At 37.4% G+C, this 21,011-nt stretch overlaps 1 protein-coding gene and 1 long non-coding RNA gene across 10 annotated transcripts in view; one reads left to right on the top strand and one right to left on the bottom strand.

Moving 5' to 3' along the window:
• Positions 1 to 12,890, top strand: part of SAMSN1 (SAM domain, SH3 domain and nuclear localization signals 1) — a 174,190-nt gene extending 161,300 nt beyond the window's left edge. For 8 of the 9 annotated variants that reach the window (NM_001395858.1, NM_001395857.1, NM_001256370.2 and 5 more), the window contains one exon: positions 12,004 to 12,890. In NM_001395858.1, coding sequence (NP_001382787.1) covers positions 12,004 to 12,206 — 203 coding nt within the window. In that variant the 3' untranslated portion in view covers positions 12,207 to 12,890. Of the gene's footprint in view, positions 1 to 1,714; positions 4,503 to 12,003 lie in introns of those variants that run through there. The other variant, XM_011529686.2, reaches the window with a different exon arrangement.
• The window catches only part of LOC124905053 (uncharacterized), a 61,200-nt gene extending 40,411 nt beyond the window's left edge, over positions 1 to 20,789 (bottom strand). The window contains exon 1 of the long non-coding RNA XR_007067925.1: positions 20,451 to 20,789. This is a non-coding gene — a long non-coding RNA (uncharacterized LOC124905053). The remainder of the gene's footprint in view (positions 1 to 20,450) is intronic.
• Between the last annotated feature and the right edge of the window lie 222 nt (positions 20,790 to 21,011).

The raw sequence follows: 21,011 nt of genomic DNA, 5'->3' as shown, positions 1-21,011 counted from the left end.
AGCATAAGCCATTAGTGCGAAATGTCACACATGGCTTCTGTAGAACAACACGAGGCTTTAAGATAATGAGCCTTCATGGCACACAGGAAAACTCATTTTATGACCACATAGTCACATCTTGTACATGTTTATAGTACTCTTTCAAAATGTTATAATAGCTTGCAAAAATATTCAGCACTCACTTTTATTATCTGAGATGGTTCTCTGTATTTGTAAGTATTAACTGAAGATGAAATAATCTTGGAGATTTACAGAATATTGTCTACAGCAACCAGGCTTGTAAAGATAGGATAGCTTTTATTTTTTATAATTATCCATCCAGACTGCCTTTCCTGCCAAATCCGGTCAGGCCCCCAAACACTGACGTTAGGGTTTGCCAAACTCTGCAAGGAGTATTTTGTGAGCAACCAAAAGGGGAAAGTCTAACTTTAAAGATAAAAAGGAACTTAGATAATCAAATCCAGCCTTCTCTATCAAAAAATACTACTACTAATAATAATTACTAGTATTAATATTATTAGTTTTTGAGATGGTGTCTAAATCTGCTGTCCCGGGTGGAGCGCAGCGGTGCGATCTCGGCTCACCGCGACCTCCGCCTCCCAGGTTGAAGCGATTCTCATGCCTCAGCCTCCGAGTAGCTGAGATTATAGGCATGCCACCACACCCGGCTAATTTTTGTATTTTTAGTAGAGATGGGGTTTCACCATATTGGCCAGCCTGGTCTCGAACTCCTGATCTTAAGTGATCCGCCCATCTTGGCCTCTCAAAGTGCTGGGATTACAAGCGTGAGCCACCGCACCCAGCAGTAAAAATAATACTAGTAATTATTAACTACATTTTTAAAACATATGTGCTCTGAGCAAGACTCTGGGCCAGGGTCTTTCCTGATTATTCTCTTGAGTACTTACCCCAGTTCTTTGAGTTAGACACTACCGCCCTCATTTTTATGATGAGTTAAGACAGCAAGTAACTTGTCTAAGAACACTCCCTTAGTGAAGTGTAGAGTTAGGATTCCAACCCAATGTATGTGCTGCTGTGTTATACTTTCTAACACTACAAGTAACAGCCCAGATGGAGAGTGAGGAGGGAGGAAAGCGTTATTTAGGGACCAGGCCTCCTGATTGTCCTTTTGTGGGCTATTCTATACTCTCTCTCATAAGTCCCACAAAACTGAGGTAGAGCACACGTTTCCTATACACTGGCTTTTTATCTAGTGAAAAGTAGTTTACTTTTTAAGAAACTGGTTTTTACTTTATTCTTATCATCCTTTTCCAAGAGCTTTCACAGGCATAACTAATTTGACATCAGCAGAACTGATTTCATCATCAGGCCTAGGTTATTATATGCTTTCTTTGAAGTTGTGAGGCTGGGAGATGCAAAAGAGAGGGAGATGTGGTCACAGAGGCAGACAAAGTTCAAGCTTCAGAAAGTAGCCAATCTAATCAATATTTCAAGTCAAGACAAAATTGATCAGTGTAAACAGATATAGTAAGTTCGTTCAGGTAAAGGAGTCAGTTTCATTCACATCTTGTCATTTCAAGACGTGGCTCCTCACTAAACAATGTTTGGCTTAGAAGTAGATTCTATAGAGTTTTATTATGGACAATGTCCAGTGTCATTGCCAATACTCTCCAAAATGATTTGACCATGAAGTACAGGGAGGAGAAGAGTATTTTTTGAACACTTGTAAATGATTGCTTTTCTTCCATAATAGCACACATCTAGGTATTTTGCCCAATTTGCAGATGAGGCAAAAATTTGGAGATGAATTTCAAAGAAGTCGAACAGCTAGATGAGTGCAGAGATGGAGATTTAATCAAAGGGAGTCTGCTGTAAAACTCCTCCACATGTGCAAATTGGCCAATATGAAAGCAATGAATATTTGAAAATTGAAGTTTTCTGCTACTTCACCAATTTTCTCAAGGGCTTTGATTCAGTTTTCTATATCAGAAGGTAAAAGGCGAGAGGCTTCCATGGCTGCCTGTCAACAGGGTTTGTGGAGAGAAGGGGCTGGGAACCTGGGCAAGCAGCACTTTCAGCAATAAACAGTATCCTCAGGGGCCCACAGAGGGAAGATGGTTTCAGTGCCAAAGGCTTGAGTCCCCTTAATTTTTTCATTCCACTTCACTCATCACCTGTCTCCTTTCTATGCTAGCAAAAGAACAATTATTCATAGATGGTAAAATTATTTATAGAGCCGATGTAATTAAAAAGAAAAAAAAAGAAAAGAAACACCTGATGCAAAATTCTTCCATTGCAAGGTGAGAAGATGAAAATCCAAGTAGCTAAGTGGCTTTCTCAAGCTCACAAATCTATAATTCAGTCTCTTACATCTATCAGAAACATGTTCCGCCTTATCCTGGTCTCTGAAAACAAAACATAGTGTCTCCAAAGCATTAAATGGTTTTTGATGTTTGATATAAAAAAGGACATGTCCCAGAAATTATTCCCCTGCATAAAACTTTAGAAAATGATGCTTGAAGGTCACTAGAAGTTGATTACTTAATGACAGCCAGTAAGGTACAAACATACACAGAGCCAAATTCTGGGAGATGAAAAATGGAAAAAAAAAATACAGATTCAACCAGTGCTTCTTGTCAACACACTACTCTGAGATTTTTCTTATTTTAATCTTATGGTCTAGAGTAGTATTAGAATATACATGTCAAAAAGATGCATATTGCAGGTTAGGCTATTCTGACTGAAAGCTATTTATCTTTTATGAAACTGCTTTGCTCAAGAAATAAAGAAGAATGACTTCCATTTGTCAATAAGATGTCGAGTTCTGATGATTTGGCACCATACTGGCTGCATGCTTATTTTTATCTATTTTCTACTCTGTGAATCATATCTCCTACAACCATGCTAAAGATTAAACACACAACCTTCCTGTACCTTGAATGATAAAGACCTTGAGTATATGGTTATATAAAACTGAGACATTTAAAAACAAATGCATGTCACGTTAAACGTTAAAAATAGTTTGCCTTTCTTTTTAAGAATGGGACATGTAAATTTTCTAGGATATTATGGATGCATTTTATTTTGATCATTGAATGATGTCAGTTTGAGGAATGGCAATAAATTTCTAGTTTGGTGTTTCATTGTTAGATTGAGAACATAAAAGGATTTGCTTTGCTAATCATGCAATATAAAAGTTGAGCAAAATGGGCACATATCTTGAGGATAAGAGCTAAAATTTTGAGATAATGTAGAAAAGACAAGTCCTATGTGAGTCTTAAATATATCTAGAGAGACCAAGAGGATGGGGTACAAAACAGGGAAAAAAACCAGACTTCTAAGATTTAAAGCAAGAATTTTTCCTTTTCTCTTCTTAGCCCAAGATAGATAGCATTGTACCCACTTTGACCTTGAAAATGTAAACTGGATTACACTTTTTTTTTTTTTTGTATTGTACTTTAAGTTCTGGGATACACGTGCAGAACATGGAGGTTTGTTACACAGGTATACACATGCCATGGTGGTTTGCTGCACCCATCAACCCTTCATCTACATTAGGTATTTCTCCTAATGCTATCCTTCCCCTAGCCCCCCACCCCCTGACAAGCAGTGGTGTGTGATGTTCCCCTCCCTGTGTCCATGTGTTCTCATTGTTCAACTCCCACTTGTGAGTGAGAACATGTGTTTGGTTTTCTGTTCCTGTGTTAGTTTGCTGAGAATGATGGTTTCCAGCTTCATCCATGTCCCTGTAAAGGACATAAACTCATCCTTTTTTATGGCTGCGTAGTATTCCATGGTGTATATGTGCCAGATTTTCTTTATCCAGTCTGTCATTGATGGGCATTAGGGTTGGTTGCAATTCTTTGCTATTGTGAATGGTGCTGCAATAAACATATGTGTGCATGTGTCTTTATAGTAGAGTAATTTATAATCCTTTGGGTATAGACCCAGTAATGGGATTGCTGGGTCAAATGGTATTTCTGGTTCTAGATCTGTGAGGGATCGCCACACTGTCTTTGACAATGGTTGAACTAATTTACATTCCCACTAACAGTGTAAAAGCATTCCTATTTCTCCACATCCTCTTCAGCATCTGTTTTTTCTTGACTTTTTAATGATCCTGATTCTAACTGGTGTGAGATGGTATCTAGGTCACTGCTTGGTGGGAAGTAAAGATGCTTCTCCAACAAGCTGATGAAAGGGCTGGTATGTGGCGTTAGTGCTGATCACAGGATTACCTCTGGAGGAGGATAACCACCCTGGGGTTCTGCAATCCCAGCAAGACCAGCATAGATATTTGGAATTTGCTCCTGTGTTGCATTTAAACTGAGAGGAATTAGGTCATCGGTTCCCTCAACTGGGAATCTAGATAAGGTTATAGGGAGAAGAAAAATTGGAGTGAGATGCAGCTCTTGAAGGGACAAGAGAGCAGGATCTGTTTATTTTGTGCACATTTAGGTTTTTCTATTTATTATCTGAATTTAAAAATGTTTCATTTACTTTGGAAGTCAATATTCCCAAATAAAAAAGAGAACAGAAAATATGTGTGTGTGTGTGTGTGTGTGTGTGTGTGTGTGTGTGTTGTTCCATAAACACAATCTTCAAGGCCCCTTTGCCTTACTCTGAAGTCCTCTTTAGAATAATAAGCTGGTTTACTGTTGTTTATAGTAAACATCTTGTCTTTATTCTGCACTTGTTCCTCATTTTTCACATTCAGAAGCACTCCAATGTGTCTTAAAATTGTGTCTATGAGAATGTGTACTATTGTCCTTGGGGAAAATGGGTGATGGAAATACCTTGTTTGCTCTAGATTACAGGGATAATTAAATTTAAAATTGAAAACAAAGTAACAGAATAAGCAAACTTTACAGAATCTGTATACAATGCATTTGAGGTACCTGCAAACTCTGGTTGCAGTGCCAAATGAGGAGGAAGGGGAAAGGGTGGGTTGTGTGCCAGAATGTTGATACCAGCTGTGGTCACAGCAGCCCCTCATTGCTCAAGCATCCCCAGTTGTGCCTTCCTGCCTGCCTGCCTGCCTGCCCAAGTCGATGCAGGGCAAATGGCGGGCCGCAGCCAGGAGCCTGGAACACGAGCTGTCAGCAGGGGAGATTTGTATTTATGCCAAGCAGCAGTCCAGCAGTTGGCCTAACAGTGTGCCAGCATAGCCTGGGCCTAGCCCCTGACATGTGTACCTGGAGTTTCCAACCCACTTGCCATATGATTTGCATCTAGATTCAAGAAATCTACAGCTTTAAAGAAAAGCTATGCTACCTGTCCACACAAAGTAGAGAAAGCATGCAGGCATTTTACTTGTATGTATTTAATATCTATAGTCATAGTTGTTTGCCCTCATGCAATTTAATTTCTTCAGATTTCTTTTTAATTTTACCTCCAAACTTTCATTTATGATGGATGCCATATTCTATATCATACAAAAAACTATAAAATAAAGTATAAGGATTCTCACTTTTCTACCAGAAAATTTCCAGTGAAAAGTGTTCACAGATTTTTCACTTTAGTCACATAAGGACCTCTCTAATGGCCGTATATATAGAGCACTCCTGTACCTGTGTTTATATTGCACTGGGATTGTATACAACACATAGCTTTGTAATGATTACCCTGGCCAAACAAGACCGAATCTTCTATTACCACATGCTTTCCCAAAGCCCCTAGTCCTGTGCTTTGCATTAGTGGATGGTTAACATAAAATGAGTAAATGATGAATGAGGAGGTCAAAAGATCCCCAAATAGTAAGTCAGTATTCTATTATTATAAAAATAAAGTTGCCTGCAATCCCACCTCACACATACAAGTATTTGTAATAAGCAGATCGGTATTCGAGTATGTTGTCAAGATTAGTTTATGAATATGCTAACCATGCATGTGTGCAAGAGTGTAAATAAGTACATTTTTGGAGGGCAATAACGTGAAACACAATCAAAGTTTAAAATATGCACACTTTTGTATCCAGAAATTCCAGTTCTAAGTATTTGTCCTACAAAATTCAAGATACGAATGCACAAAAATACTAACTAAAAATCTAGTAGTTTTGGGTAAAAACTAAAAACAATAGGGACTTCCATCAATAATTAACCTGTTAAATAAATTAAGATATACCCAAACAATGAAGTAGTTTTGAAGGTGTTATGTTAAAAAAATGATATAGCGTGCTGTTTACTGATATTAAAGTTTTTTAAAAATATGTTAAATGTGAAAGCAAATTGTAGATCACTAATATGCACAGTATTCCTATTTTTGTCAAAAGTAATAGTTTTAGACATAATGAAATTAGATTAGTTTTTTATCATATCTATATAGGGAAGGCAAAATTTTATCTCTACCCTCTTAGGCTTTTAAAAACAGCTGAAAATTAAATTGACATAGGACAGACCAACAGGAGAAAATCACACAAATTTATTTAACACAAAATTCATGTGACAAGGGAGGCTTCATGGGAAATGAAGACCCAAAGATGCAGTTAGAGTTGAACACTTGTATACTGAATTAGACAAAGAATAATAAGTTGTGAAAATGTGACAAGTCACAGAAGCTTGAAATAGGCTAGCTAATTGGGTGAAGTGGTTAGATAGATAAGGGTTTGTTTAACATGGCTTGTTTGTACAGATTTCCCTCTGCCTCAACTTCCTGTCCTTGATGATAAGAATGATACTTTTCTTCTGGTAGAGGGAAGGTAGCTTTCACATGGAAATGTCATCTGCTTTTAAGAAGCAGAAGGAAAGTCAGACTAGGCATGGTGGCTTATGCCTGTAATCCCACCACTCTGGGAGGCTGAGGCAGGAGGATTGCTTGAGTCCAAGAGTTCAAGACGAGCCTGGGCAACCTAGCCAGACCCTATTTCTCTCTCTCTTAAAAAAAAAAAAAGGGAAAGCCAGAGTGATATTCTTGCACCTGCTCTCTTCAAGTGCCTTCAACTCAAAATAGTCAATACGCCAGAGCAGCATATTTTGGGGTAATGTGTTCTTAACTCCTTCATCATGTAAATGGGTTTAATTAACCTATAAGAAATATGAACTTGACTTTCCAAGGCCCCTAATTAAATAATGTGTGACAGTTTTAAACGTTATTTGGTCATTACCAAAATAGTCAGTACAATATGACAACTTTAACTGAGGAGGGTAAATATTTCCTGGGACCAAAGCCCTCCATATGGTGTATGGTTGGGGAGAGTAGCAGTCTAATGAGATTGCCCAGGTAGGTGCTGAGTTATCGTGATCTTGAGTGAGTATGCCTCTGCCTCTGCTGAAGTTCCTAGCACAGTGGAAGTGGAGATTGCCCTAGCTGAAAGCGAAAAGGTTTATTTCCAGGTACACATCTCGTTAGAAGCTAGGCTCCAAAAAGAGATATGCAAGAGGAGGGGAAGTCATTTCAACTCCATATCTTCTCATGGCCTCAGGGGAACAGAAGCCACCAGTTATTTTCCTATGAATGGAATCCTATTCTTAATTTGTTGTTGTGTTTCCAAAAGGTGGGTTAGTATTCAAGTGAAATGAACACCAAATATTCACTGTTATTAGGAGAATTAAAGTGTTCAGGTAACTTAAGAATGGGCTTTAGATGAAATAAAAAATAACTGAGAGACATGCCATGTTGTCCACTAAAATTTCCTCCCTGGATAACGCTGCCTCTGGACAAATAAATATAGCCATAGTTACCTGAACAGTGGCTGGGTTTTCATTTGAGTGACTCCAGTGAGGTTAAAACTTGAGACTGAGGTTTTGAGTCATCCTAAGATGTGTATCCCTGGGTTTTGCCACTTTGGAGATGGCCCCAGGATAGAGAAAAACAGGAGGATGATTGATGGAGCTGAGAGGTATTCTCATATGAATTTTAACAAAATTCCTTTTTTGCTCTCCTTTAGTTCCAATGCCCTTTAATTCATCTAAATATCATTGTGTTTATTAAAAAATTATTTATTGAGAGATTCCTTTAGCCAGGAATTTTCCTATGCCTTTAAGGTTGTATTATTTTACAGTACTTCACCCAAAGAAAGCTAAGGCAAGCAAGATGGTAAAGACAAAATCTGGATGATTTGGGCAAAGAAATCTGGGAAAGTCAAGCAAAAATTAGTTTTCATTTTTTTGAATCTTTAATTTTTTAATATGTAAAGGTGGGGCAGATTTCTCTTCTTAGAGTAGAACTTTTTCCCAGAATAAGGATCCAGTTTTATTTCCTTAAAACTATCTTCACTTTTAGTATAATTGAGATTGCCTTTCTTAATTAATTAAATGTCAAAATTCCAATATAATTATTTTGTGAATAATTATATTAGACGTCTTCTGTTTTCATCACGATGCCACCCTTTTCTTTCAACATTGATAACTATCTTAAAATGTTTTTACATGGGCTTTATACAATTCTGTAACAATTTTGGTAGGAAATAAATTATTTTAATATGCAAATTAGCTCTTCATGATAAAATATTTCCTAAGTAATTTTTAAATGTTATTCTATTTTTATTATATAGAGTACAGAATTATACAGCTTTCTGGAGTTCCTAGTATGCCTGCTGTCAGCTGGCAGCAATAAGAAAGACCCTTATTCAAATTATTTAATAATTCTTCAGTGTATTCTAATTTAGATACGTATGTCCTTTAAGATATTTACAAACCATTTGGGGGCTTTATTGAAAAATTATACCGTTTTAATTCTTTCATTAAAAACAATGTGGATGACCTGAGAAATAGAGGGAAAATTAACAAATTTGAACACTTTTGTTTGTAAGTTATATGCGTATGTGTGTTTTCATATAATTGTAATAATAGAATACATGAATTATGTATACTTTTTTAAACCTAGCGTATTATCAGAAACGTTTTAGTATAAAAAGATGCACTGAAACATCCTATGGGAAGTCCATAATTTTGTAGGCAAACCTGTTTCTTATTCCAATGTGTTACTTGCCTGGTTAGCCCAGATGATTGAACCATGGGACAAAACTGATGAAGGTTATGGTTTCAATTTCTGGGTAGGCCAGTTAGCTTTACTCTGTTTCATGGCCACATGAAGGGACTAAATGACTTAGAAAGAAAATGTGGATGCATTAATGTGAATTCATCTCCTCTGCAGGAAAGAAACACCCATAACACAAGACCTAGGTTTGTGCCAATCCCTGTCATTAGTGTCAGGATGAAAAGAAACAAGAAGAGGAAAATCTTGATCCTCCAAATACAAAAGTGAATGCGATATAGCTTTCATCTCCGTAATATAACATAATGACCTGCCTTTTTATAGTTACAGTTGAGAGTTCCAGCTGATCACCTGCCTGAAATTATTGCAAGCCTGGTAGGAAGCATTTGAGGAGCACAGTCGTGTTTTCATTTCACGAGGAAATCATTTAGCAAATTACTGCTGTTCTGTAAATTACCGTGCTGCATAACTTTCATACTCAGAAACTATTTTCTTTTTCCATAAAAATTGCAGATGAAAGGTTTCTACAATAAATGACCTGTGTTTAAAACAAAACCATTCCTAGAATTTAGAGAACATGATATAGCATTTCTCATGTGGAAATAAAAACAAATACATTTTTGTTACTAATATTACACAATGACATATTCTCTAGTAAAGACAGTTTTTAATTTATTTACTTTATTCCCCATTGAGGTGAATGCACAGAGGCTTCTGAGAGTGAAATAACAAGCTAAATATTTATTTTTTTAAAGGAAAAGAACTAATTTTGGAAATTACAGTTCTTAAAGACTCTGCTTCATATCCTGAAGAGAGCCCCACAATTGGTAATCAACCTAAATAGAACAGAGTGTTGGGAACAAACAGTTTTTATTATGCCAAGTCTTGTTTAGGATATCAATGTGAAGGGAAGTAGATCAGTTCTTTTAATTTTGCATTGAGGTAATATTGGCCCAAACATAATCTGGGGAAATGTGGCCTTATCCCCACAATCATTATGACTAAGAGGTTCACACTCCAAATAGGATGATCATTGCTGATGTGGCAGAATGCATACAAAAGCACTAATTCCTCTGGCCTTTTCTAGAAACACTTGGATAATGGAACACAGAGCTGGCTCATTTCATTTCAGTGGCAATAAGATAGAAAAGCCAAGGCAGGATAGAAAGCAATTCTTCAGAGAATGAGGTCCCATTTTAGTGCTGCCTTTTCATTAAAAAAAAGGGCTTAGAAAGAAGAGTGAATGACTGATACTCAGAAAGACTAGTGAATAATAAGTAAACCCTCCCAAACTTAAAGATTGTCATGAATAATGCACACAAAATGCTTCCATGGTAGCTAAAATTTAAAAATAACAATCACAATAGGTGCCTATTAAAATTGTCATCTTATATCTAGAACTAGTTATAATATCACTAGGCAAATACCTGATATTTGAATCTATAGTTAAAATTGTGGGGCAAATGTGAAGATTCAGAAGAATGGCATAAATATGGTTTCACTGTTGCAAATACAAGCCTTAAGGAAAAGGTTAAAAGAACTGTTATGACTCATTCTGAAGATGAGCAGACTAAGAAGCAATTTTTATCATTTTCTTCCAGCCTTTCTCAACCAGTATTTTTCTTCTAAACTACAGAATTTAGGAGATATTTTAAGTAACACTTTTCAATTTCTCCCATGGATGATGCTTAACTAGTACCATTCTATAAACATTAAAGAGAAGTTAATTCATTAACACAAGGGTAACTTACAGCACAATTCTCATTTATAATGGAAGTTGATGGCAATTGGACACACAGTGGATCATAAACTAATGTTAGCAAAACATATGGAAACTAGAAAATGCATTTTAAAGAAGATAGATATATATATATAAAAAATAAATAAGATAAAGAGTAGATTTCCTAGATATAAATTAATTAGCATTATAATAGCCTATTGAAGAAAATTATACATTTTCCTTCTTTGAAGGATTCTGAGGTTTGGATTTACTTTATTCTCACTGGAATGGGATGAAGTGCAAAGCCTCTGTAGGCAGAGTTCTTGTCCCAACCTTAAATGTGTGTTTGGCTCTTTCAACGTGGAGCTATTCAGATGCCTACAGTGGTGAAGCCCCAAGGTTAGAAGGGGAAAGAGGAAGATATGGTACTGCAGCTAAGAGGCAGTACCTGAGATCTATTTCTTCTCTGAGGAGCTCAGCTCAGGATGCAGAAACACCCATCAAGAAACCACATGGACAGAGAGAAAGTTGACGCTAAAGGAATCGAGAAGAGTAATATGTGAACTTCAGGCTGCTTAGGGGTTCTTCCAAAATATATTTTGTTATATCCCTAATAGTAATCTTTTTCTAAAAGATAATGCCTGTTGAATATAGAACACTGCTTTAAGAATGCAGAATTATCAATCTGAAAATAAATGATTATTCTTCAGGACTACAGACAAAGATATGGAAGACTAAATATTCATAAAGTAGATTCAGTGGAAATTTTGGTGTTTTACTTTCTAAAAGCAACCTGGTTTCTTATGCCTATTTTGTGATACATGCAAACATAGGAAAATTCTGGATATTTAAAGTTTTATTAGTTAACTTCCAAATAATTGAAGTCCTACTGTACATTCTTACTTATAGTGATAATTTATTAATTAATCTAGATTATCATGAATCTAAAATTGTTCACAAAGATCACTATTGACTTGGATTGTGCATTTAAACTATAAATGCCTTTTTCTAATGATACTTTAAGGAGTATTTGGACAAGGCATCAGTCACACTGTGGATACAATCTGCTTTCTCTGGCAACTTATTATTAATGTAAAATGAGAGTCCATATTGATCTTTGCTGATGCGGGAAGTTCACATGAATTCCATGAAACTGCAAATGAACAATGAAGGGCAAATTTTGGCTTCTAATAAAACAGTAGCTTGAATATTTGGGTGCAAATATCTCTTTTGTAATAAACAAAGATACCTTTTACTTGCAGAACTTTCCATTGTAATGAAGTCATGGTTAGAACAGTTAAAATAGGATAATACTTGAAAGTGAATGAGTACATGAATAAGATTTTGTGTTGCTTTACCTAACTCCTGCCCTTTTTTTCCATTTACAGTTATTCAAGAGCAAGAAAATGAACCTGAGCCCCTATCCTTGAGCTCAGACATCTCCTTAAATAAGTCACAGTTAGATGACTGCCCAAGGGACTCTGGTTGCTATATCTCATCAGGAAATTCAGATAATGGCAAAGAGGATCTGGAGTCTGAAAATCTGTCTGACATGGTACATAAGATTATTATCACAGAGCCAAGTGACTGAACACGCATTCCCAACTATATATCTACAGATGCATTCCATTTTAACTCTTCTTGAGCTAAAACGTCAAATAGGAGAGGAAGATAAGATAAATATTTGTAAATAAAACCTAAAGTTTAAATGTTTTAATCTGAATAATTGTACATAAAATTTTGTATCTCTAACATTCCAAATTACTGTCAATAAAATATATATTTATTATTTTAAATGCTATGTGTTAATATTTCACTTGCTTGTATTAGAAAGGCAAAATGTAAGACTTTGGTATGTGTGACATATGCTTTATTTGGCTTTATTTTACAAGTACAGTATCTGCAAAAAACAAAGTAACCTTTTTTCATACCTGCCAGTTTTGAATTTATATATGTTATTGAACAAATAGTAATAGAGGATTCGCTGTTGAAACAAGTTGTCCAAGCAATGTTATATTCATTTTTATACTTATTGGGAAAGTGTGAGTTAATATTGGACACATTTTATCCTGATCCACAGTGGAGTTTTAGTAATTATATTTTGTTGATTTCTTCATTTTGTTTTCTGGTATAAAAGTAGAGATAATGTGTAGTCACTTCTGATTTAGTGAAACCAATTGTAATAATTGTGGAAATGTTTTGTCTTTAAGTGTAAATATTTTAAAATTTGACATACCCTAATGTTAATAATAAAAAGAACTATTTGCATATTGCATTTTCCAGAGTAATGTTACTTAAGGGTTTTAATATTGGACTTTAGAGAAAATATCTCCTCCCAGACACCCCTCACTTTTTGTAATATAAGTGCATCCCATAGCAATAATCTCAACCTCCTCAAACTCATCTGTCCCCTGAACCCCAGTGATGTTTATCTGACTCACTTGATACCCTCAGGAAACTTCAATTCAACATAACCAAACCATCGATTTTCTCTACAAATTTGTTTCTGCTTTTTTATTGCCAACTCCTCTTTACTGCTACTATCACCCAGCCAGTCATCAAAGCAGAAAATCACTTCTTGCTTCATCTCACATATATCCTCCTCATACAAATTCAATAAGTAATCAAGCCCTATGGATCCTACCTCTACAAATGCTTTCATATTCATGGCCTTCTATCCATTTCCATGGTTGTTGTCTTGCTTTGGATCCTCATGATCTCATGCACGGAAAATGGCAGTAGCTTTCCAACTGACCCCCTACCTTCTCATCCATCCTCCACACAGCCTCCAGATAAATCTTTCTAATCCATGAATCAAATCAGGTACTTTTCTGCTTGAAAGTTTTGGAGGGCTTCTCATTGTCTTTAGTATAATATCCAAACTTCCTTCCAGGCTGCATAAGGTCTTCCCCAATTGCTTTTTACCTACCTTATGAATTGTAACTACCCCCTCACCACCACCACCATACACACACACCTCTCAATCTACACTCCAGCCATAACAATATACTTGCAATTTTCTTCCCTTTGTGACTTTCCATATGCTATTTATTTTCCTGGAGTGTCTCCTGCTATTTTCCACATTAGGAAGTCTCCCTCTTTCCTCCATCCTAAAGGTCACTTACTCTGTGAAGCCTTCCATGATTCCCTTTGGTGCTCTCTTCTTTGTGTTTCCATAGCAACTTGTAAATTGTGGTTCATAGCACTTGTCATATTATGCTTTATATATTTGTATGACAATTGCCCTTCCGTAAGACTGTGACCTCCTTGTGACAGAGATTATTTTGTTTAGCCTTTTTAATCTCTGGTGCCTAACATAATACCTGGCACACAGTGGGCACTTAGGAAATATTTGCTAGAGGGCATTGAATATGATGATTATTCCTATATAACAGATTCCATCTTCCTATTTAAATTGATCCATTCAATTTATATAGGTACTGTAGGTAAGTACCTTCCAAAGTGACCTATTTTTTTTTTAACCAATAAAACGTAATACCTTAGGAAAAAACAGGAAACACAAAGTGTTATTTCAAATGCTGGAGGACAACATTACACTGCTAACGTCCGGCATATTTTTCCAGACCCCTGAGATTTAACCGCATATGCAGTGCCCAGGTGAGGCTAAAGCACATGTCTACCTCTATTCTTCCCCCTTCACAGCATGAAATGGTGTTTCATTTCAGTTTTCCAAGGTGCTGCCTCCATCATGACCCCACTCTTGCTACAGCTACCACTCCAAATCGATTATTCTGGGGCCTCCTTAAACACAGCAGTCACTAACCATGATTTTAAAACTTTAATCACCTGCTGCCTCAGGGAGATCAAGACAGGATAGCTTCTTTATGGAGATGCCAGGAAATTGTAAGTTGGGGAGCAACTAACAAACTACTTGACTTTAAAACGGTGGCAATCGCCCATGACGCATACTCAGCCACAACTTCAATCACTTAAAAATGAAGGTCTGGTACCCAGTCAAGGATTTAGGGAAATGCTTTTGAGGGGAAGTGCTGCAGAGCCCTTGAGGAGATTGAAGCACAGGAAGAGAGATTGGATTCCTAAAAAGAGGAGACACCATGAGGCTCAAGTGGTCAGGAGGAAGGCCTCATCACGGAGTTCCGCACTAAAAAGGACACAAGAATAGCGGACGTATACTCCACATTAAGGGAGGGCTGCTGTCCTCACCTTACCCACAGCTCCTTACGGATCCTCTGCAGCTCTCGCCTCAGCTCCCTCAACGTGGGGCAGGGAACATCAACAGAAGGAAGACAGGTTTTTCTCTTGGCCATGGAAAGCTGAATAAAGAGCAGCGGAAAGATAAGAAACGGCTCATCCAAGGTTGGGAGGTAGCTGAGGAACTTGGACCTTCTGCTGCTTTTGGCTGAGTGAGAGACATGAGTCCAAGCCTTTTAAGATGGCTAAAGGATTAACATTATAATAATTACAAGATCATGATACTGGCTTTGTGTTTCTAGGTTGAACCCTGACGACATTTCCCAGTCTCATATGTTTATTTATTCACTCAGCAATATTTAAAGTTGGAACATGTATGCTGTCCAAGACTATGCCAACAAAGGTCTTTTTAACTATATAACCGCATGAGAATCATAGCATAGCTTCTCTCATTGGAACCCACTGAGTCTTTCATATATACACAGATCAGAATATACCGTTATTCTGATCCCAGAGATTCCGTATCTTTGTAAATTCAAGTATGTTGTGACAATATGCATGGTTAGAGGAATTTTATTCCAGATAAATAAATAAAATCCTCATAGTAATTTTTTGATGAATACAAAAATCAGATCATTTAAATTCTGAGTTCCCCTTGTAATGTACAGATGAATATATCTACATTCTGAAGTATTTCATTATAATCTTTTCTCTTTTAATCAATTAAATTGCCAAGGGAGTTAGTTCAGAAATAAAATAACTTTTAAAATTTCAAAATGATAGGCAGCTAAAGATTATCAGGATTTCAGAAAACGTACAATTTACTGAGGTTACAGTCAAGTGCCCTGCAACTTCCTGAATGAGGCCAAATTGATGACATTTCATGTTGAGAAACTTCCGTTACAAGCAGAAGTTCTGAGAAAAATAATAGGAAGAAATTTTAGATACTCCATCACCTCACACACGCACGCACTTCCATCCTCCCCACAACCATCAAAAAACTTGAATAATTTGCATACAGACTTCAAGTACTCTTTCATAAAGTGGGAAGTCACGCTACAATCACGTAAAGGTTGAGAGCAAAACGAATAGGGACTAAATGTAGGTAAAAGAACAGCAGCTTCTAAACTTGACCAGGTTTTTTGGCTATGGAAATGAGATAAAAGCAACCCTCTTTTTATGTTACCTCCTATTTAACTGCCGAATTTCTCTGATCACACCCAATGTTCACCTAAACATAGAGACTGGAGGAGATCATGGAGTTGAAGCATCTGGTTTGAGAATTGTGTGACTGGGCAGGTCATTTATCCTCTAAGCTTAGTCTTTTTTTTTTAATCTACAAAATGTTGTCAATTAAATGAGATAATGTGTGTAAAGCACACAGCACGACGCATGTAGTATGTGCATAAAAACAACTACTGCTATTATATCCACTACTTCATTTTTATTCATTGATGTCTGGACATTCAGTGGAAGCAGTGCACATGCTGCCACAATGCAGGCATGGACTTGCAGGCATTTGAAATTCTTAAGACACAAATTGTCTCAGAGCTATGACAACTGTGTTTGTCAGAAGCAATGAGAGAGAGTCAGCTGGCTTAAGAGGACTTCTCAGATGAATGACCATTTCTTCATGAAAGAATATCTTTGTTTACTCCTAACCAGCTTACGGAGAGGCTGTGCTATATTTAGCTTTCATTCCTCACACCTAGCTCATGATAGGAGTACTCTTTTTTTTTTTTTTTTTTTTTTTTTTTGAGATGGAGTCTCACTCTGTCACCCAAACTGGAGTGCAGTGGCAGGATCTTGGCTCACTGCAACCTCTGCCTCCTGGGCTCAAGTGATTCTCCCACCTCAGGCTCCCAAGTAGCTGGGATTACAGGTGGGCAGCACCATGCTTGGCTAACTTTTTGTATTTTAGTAGAGACTGGGTTTCACCATGTTGCCCAGGGTGGTTTTGAACTCCTGAGCTCAGGGAATCTGCCCGCCTTGGCCTCCCAAAGTGCTGGGATTACAGGCATGAGCCACTGTGCCCAGCCGGAGTACTCATTTTTGAAGAATGAAGGATTTATAAATAAATGCCTAATGAATAAGTGAAAAAATAAAAGTTTTGGGGTTATTACTGCTATTAGTGCACCTTGGACCCTGGTCTCTGATAAATTATGGAGTCACAACTCATTGTGCTATAGGCAACAGAGAAGCCCTCAGGAAGGCCGCCTAAATGTAGATATTTACCTATTTATAAAGCTTAAGAGCATTTAGGCAAATAATCTGCCATGGGAAATCGAAGTGCAGAAAGAGGCTGAGAAGCTACCAGGAACATATATGACCTTTTCATAACTCTTCCTTCCCTATCTTCGTCATGCAAACTTCTCACATTTGAATTACCAACAGTTAGAGTATCAGAAGGTCTGTGTGACATAAATTATAAGTTAAGAAACCATGAGGGAAGAAAGTAAAAAAATGACATTAGTATATTCAGTGGTTTCTTTTGACCTTCTGGGGTCCCTGATGGGCCTGAGTGCAAAGCAGCATTTCCTCATAGGGCAGGAGTAGAATCCTGATGTGTAAGGCTAACAGGATCATTTCCTTTCTGAGTTCTTGGGCACTAGGCCAAGTGAATGGGCAGGAATCATTCCAGTTGCCGAGTAAAATGGGGTGAAAAGCACTTCTGGCACACTTTGTCCATATAAATTATACTTGTTTGCAATTCATCAACTCCTTCTCTCCTTTATATCCATATGTAATGTAAATGATCATCTTTCTCTGAAGCTCCATAATGATGCAAAGCTCAAAAATGTGATAGAATCAGCTAAAAGAGAGCAGATGGAAGTTTATCCCCCAATATGCATATTCATAAAAAAAAATAGAGAACTCAACAAAAGGAGATACATAAGTACTTTTACCCGGGGGCTGCATGGACTTCTGTATGACAGTAAGTTGGTTTTCTGCAACTATTCATTTCGGAAACCTTTACTCATTCGTTTCTGCAGCAGTCATTGAAAATGCTCTGGGAAAAAAAAAAAACTGTCTCTGTAGGAAACAAATATATTTCCCTTTGGATTTTTATTGCACCTTAGAATCCGTGATTCAGGAAGTAATGGTTAAATATTTTACTAGAAAAATATAATTAGAAGGCAAACAATGTAAAAAAGTGAGGTCTTAAGTGTTCCTTTAGCAATACAAACTACAGACGTTTAAAAGCACACTGTTACACTGAAATAGTGATATAGGGAGAATAATGAACTGTCTGGATCACATTTGTATGTTTTAAAAAAATATCTGATTACTCAGGGGCTAAGGTGGTTCATGCTGGTGTACTGAAGATACAGCAATGCTGCTAGAAATTTAGTTTAGACAAAGAAAAGAAAAGATAGGAAATGGTAAATATATATATATACAGCCGGGCATGGTGGCTCATTCCTGTAATCCCAGCACTTTGGGAGGCCAAGGCCGGCAGATCACCTGAGCTCAGGAGTTCGAGACCAGCCTGGCCAACATGGTGAAACTGTATAAAATCACTGGAAGGGTGGCTGTGAGTTTTGGTAGCGTACAATGAAAGAAGTAGCATTCATACCAAAATGAGATGTTTCTGACTCTCCTCTCCAATCTACTCTCCACTTGTGAAGCCTGGATATTCACTCAGATATATTCACCTGTATAAGCTACTACATTCCAGTTCTGTGCCCTGAGGTTCCTGTTGGGCTCAGTGAGCAGAAAGTCCCCTCATTCCCTGAGGAGTGAGGTCAGGGTATTTGTTTTCCCTGTGAGATCACCTTGTGCTGGTGCTTCCCTTAATCAAAGGTTGCTAGTCCTTTCAAGGTGACCTTTTACATGATTCTCCTTCCTTGAGATTCTAGTAATTGCTCTTCCTCCTGATCTCTTAGGGTCTAGATTGAGTAACAGCTCTGTAGCTCTTAGCTCCCACTACCAGTGCAGCCCTTATTGGTTCCCCTGCCCTCTACTCTGCCCACACCTTTGTAATTAGTCCCTTTATAAATAAGCCTTCCTGGGATTTCCTAATTTGATTGTGTTTCCTGCTGGTAGCTGGGCAAGTACAGTGATCCACCAATGCTCATGACCTCATGACTTCTTTTTTTTTTTGAGACGGAGTCTTACTCTGTTGCCCAGCCTCCCTGGTTCAAGAGATTCTCCTGCCTCAGCCTCTTGAGTAGCTGGGATTACAGGTGTGCACCACCAAGCCTGGCCAATTTTTGTATTTTTTTTTAAGTAGAGACATGGTTTCACCATGTTGGTCAGGCTGGTCTTGAACTCCTGACCTTGTGATCCCCCTGCCTCGGCCTCCCAAAGTGCTGGGATTACAGGCGTGAGCCACCGCGCCCGGCCATGGCTTCAAATTACTTAGGCCATGTTCTTGAAAGCAGTGAGCTCTATGGCTCCGGTATAACTACACTTACATGGTCTCAGGTCATTTTTTTCTATTTCACTACCAGCCACCAGCCTTGCTGGCAATCAGTTTGCTTCAGGAAAAGAAAGAAAAGAAAAGAAGAGGAGAGGAGAGGAGAGGAGAAAGAAAAGAAAAAAGGGTAAAGAATTTCCACTAACTCCATCAAAATTCATGTCTTGTACCCTTTCAATTCTTAATCCACCTGTTTCATGGGGCCCAGACATATACTTCTCCTTTTTCCAAGAAGCTAAGAAATTCTGGAATTGGAGTGACTGGCAGCATATAAATGGAGGTTTTCATGCTGCAGTTCAGGCCAACCTAACTGCAATTAACACTTCTTTTCTCCTTTACTAATAACAAAATCCAGTGTCCACTTTACTATGAAACACAGGGTCAATTCTATTGGGAAAATGTACCACCCAACAATATTAATATGCATCCAGCAACCATATGATAAAGCAGAATGAAGGAAGTGCATATTTTAGGCTGCTTGCTACCTAATTAGAAATATCTGACATTAATAGCATTTTGGAGGGTGTGTATAAATATGATAACACATAGATACTGAAATTACATTAGCAGTTTTTCACATCTAAAATTCTTTGATTCTAAGTTATACTTCATCTACAGTATCACTTGCTAACATCAGGCTCTCATACACAAACTCTTAGGCCTCTTAGTCTCAAAAGAGGTTGTTGTAAAATACGGATGTCCAGATAATTTGCATGATTAATGAAAATATGTTTTAGAATATTAAACATTTAAAATGTTAGCATTCAGTAGACTTTCTGACAGAAGTTAAAAGACTATTAGAATGACTGATGAATTGCTACAGTACATTAGCCCTCAGAACAAGGAACCTGCTTGCTAGAGGACATTTATGTAACTTTTTAGCTTTCTTGTTTTTTCCTTTCTCTCCCACTCTAACTAAATTGTCCTTATGTGACCTTGGCTCAGATTTAAATGGCCAAGCATAGGACTTTGCAAAGTTTTGACCCTGCAAATTACATGAAAAACTATAGTCAGAGAGGGTGAAAGAAAGCAGCTAAATTAATCAGTGCTTGGTACATAATATATCTGGCATATAGTAGGAGATTCATAGAAATGTGTTGAAGGAATGAAACGCCTTCTTTCATGTTGAGGATGGTCTTACCTCAGCACAGTGGAAATAAATAAAACAGAAAATCTCTTCCTGGTTAGTGACAAAGTCACTGACAGTTCAGTTGTTTAGATAGGGCATGTAGATCTACTTACTTTTTTCCATGTGTTAGGATTTGTATTTCCGAATGAAGCTCTTCCTACTGTAGTCTTCTAGAGCCTTTTGTCTTGGTTGGCTGCAGAGCTTATCACGACCTATTTGGTCATTTGCTTCCCTCTCCTGTTATACTTAGAGATGAAATATACAACAAAGGACTGTCAGGGAGGTGTTTACATCCCCTCTGGGTAAAAAGTAAAAGACCGTTGAAAAGGTAGGGCCACAAGAAATATCAAAATAAATTATTAAGGTAGAAGCAGTAAGCGGCTTAATGGCCTTGCTTTGAGGGAGACAATTAACATTACTATAATTTATGGGAAGTATTATCATGCAGTTATGAGCTCCCTCTCTGAGCCCTACTTGCCAAAGCCTGCTTCTTTAGGCAGTGTTTTCTTGATAGTGTTATTTAGTTGATAGTTTTCCAACACTCAAGTATTACACAGTATCATTATTCCTGTGTCAGGGAGTGTGGAGAAAAGTACACTAGGGTACATCATCTAGAATCCCATTACTTAGTCATTAATGAAAATAGTGGGCAGAGCAAGTGTAGGAGGCTGAAT

This window comes from Homo sapiens, chromosome 21, assembly GCF_000001405.40.
Source record: "Homo sapiens chromosome 21, GRCh38.p14 Primary Assembly".
NCBI lineage: Eukaryota > Metazoa > Chordata > Mammalia > Primates > Hominidae > Homo > Homo sapiens.
Note: the sequence above shows the minus strand (reverse complement) of the source record. Positions and strands in the feature narration are given on the sequence as shown.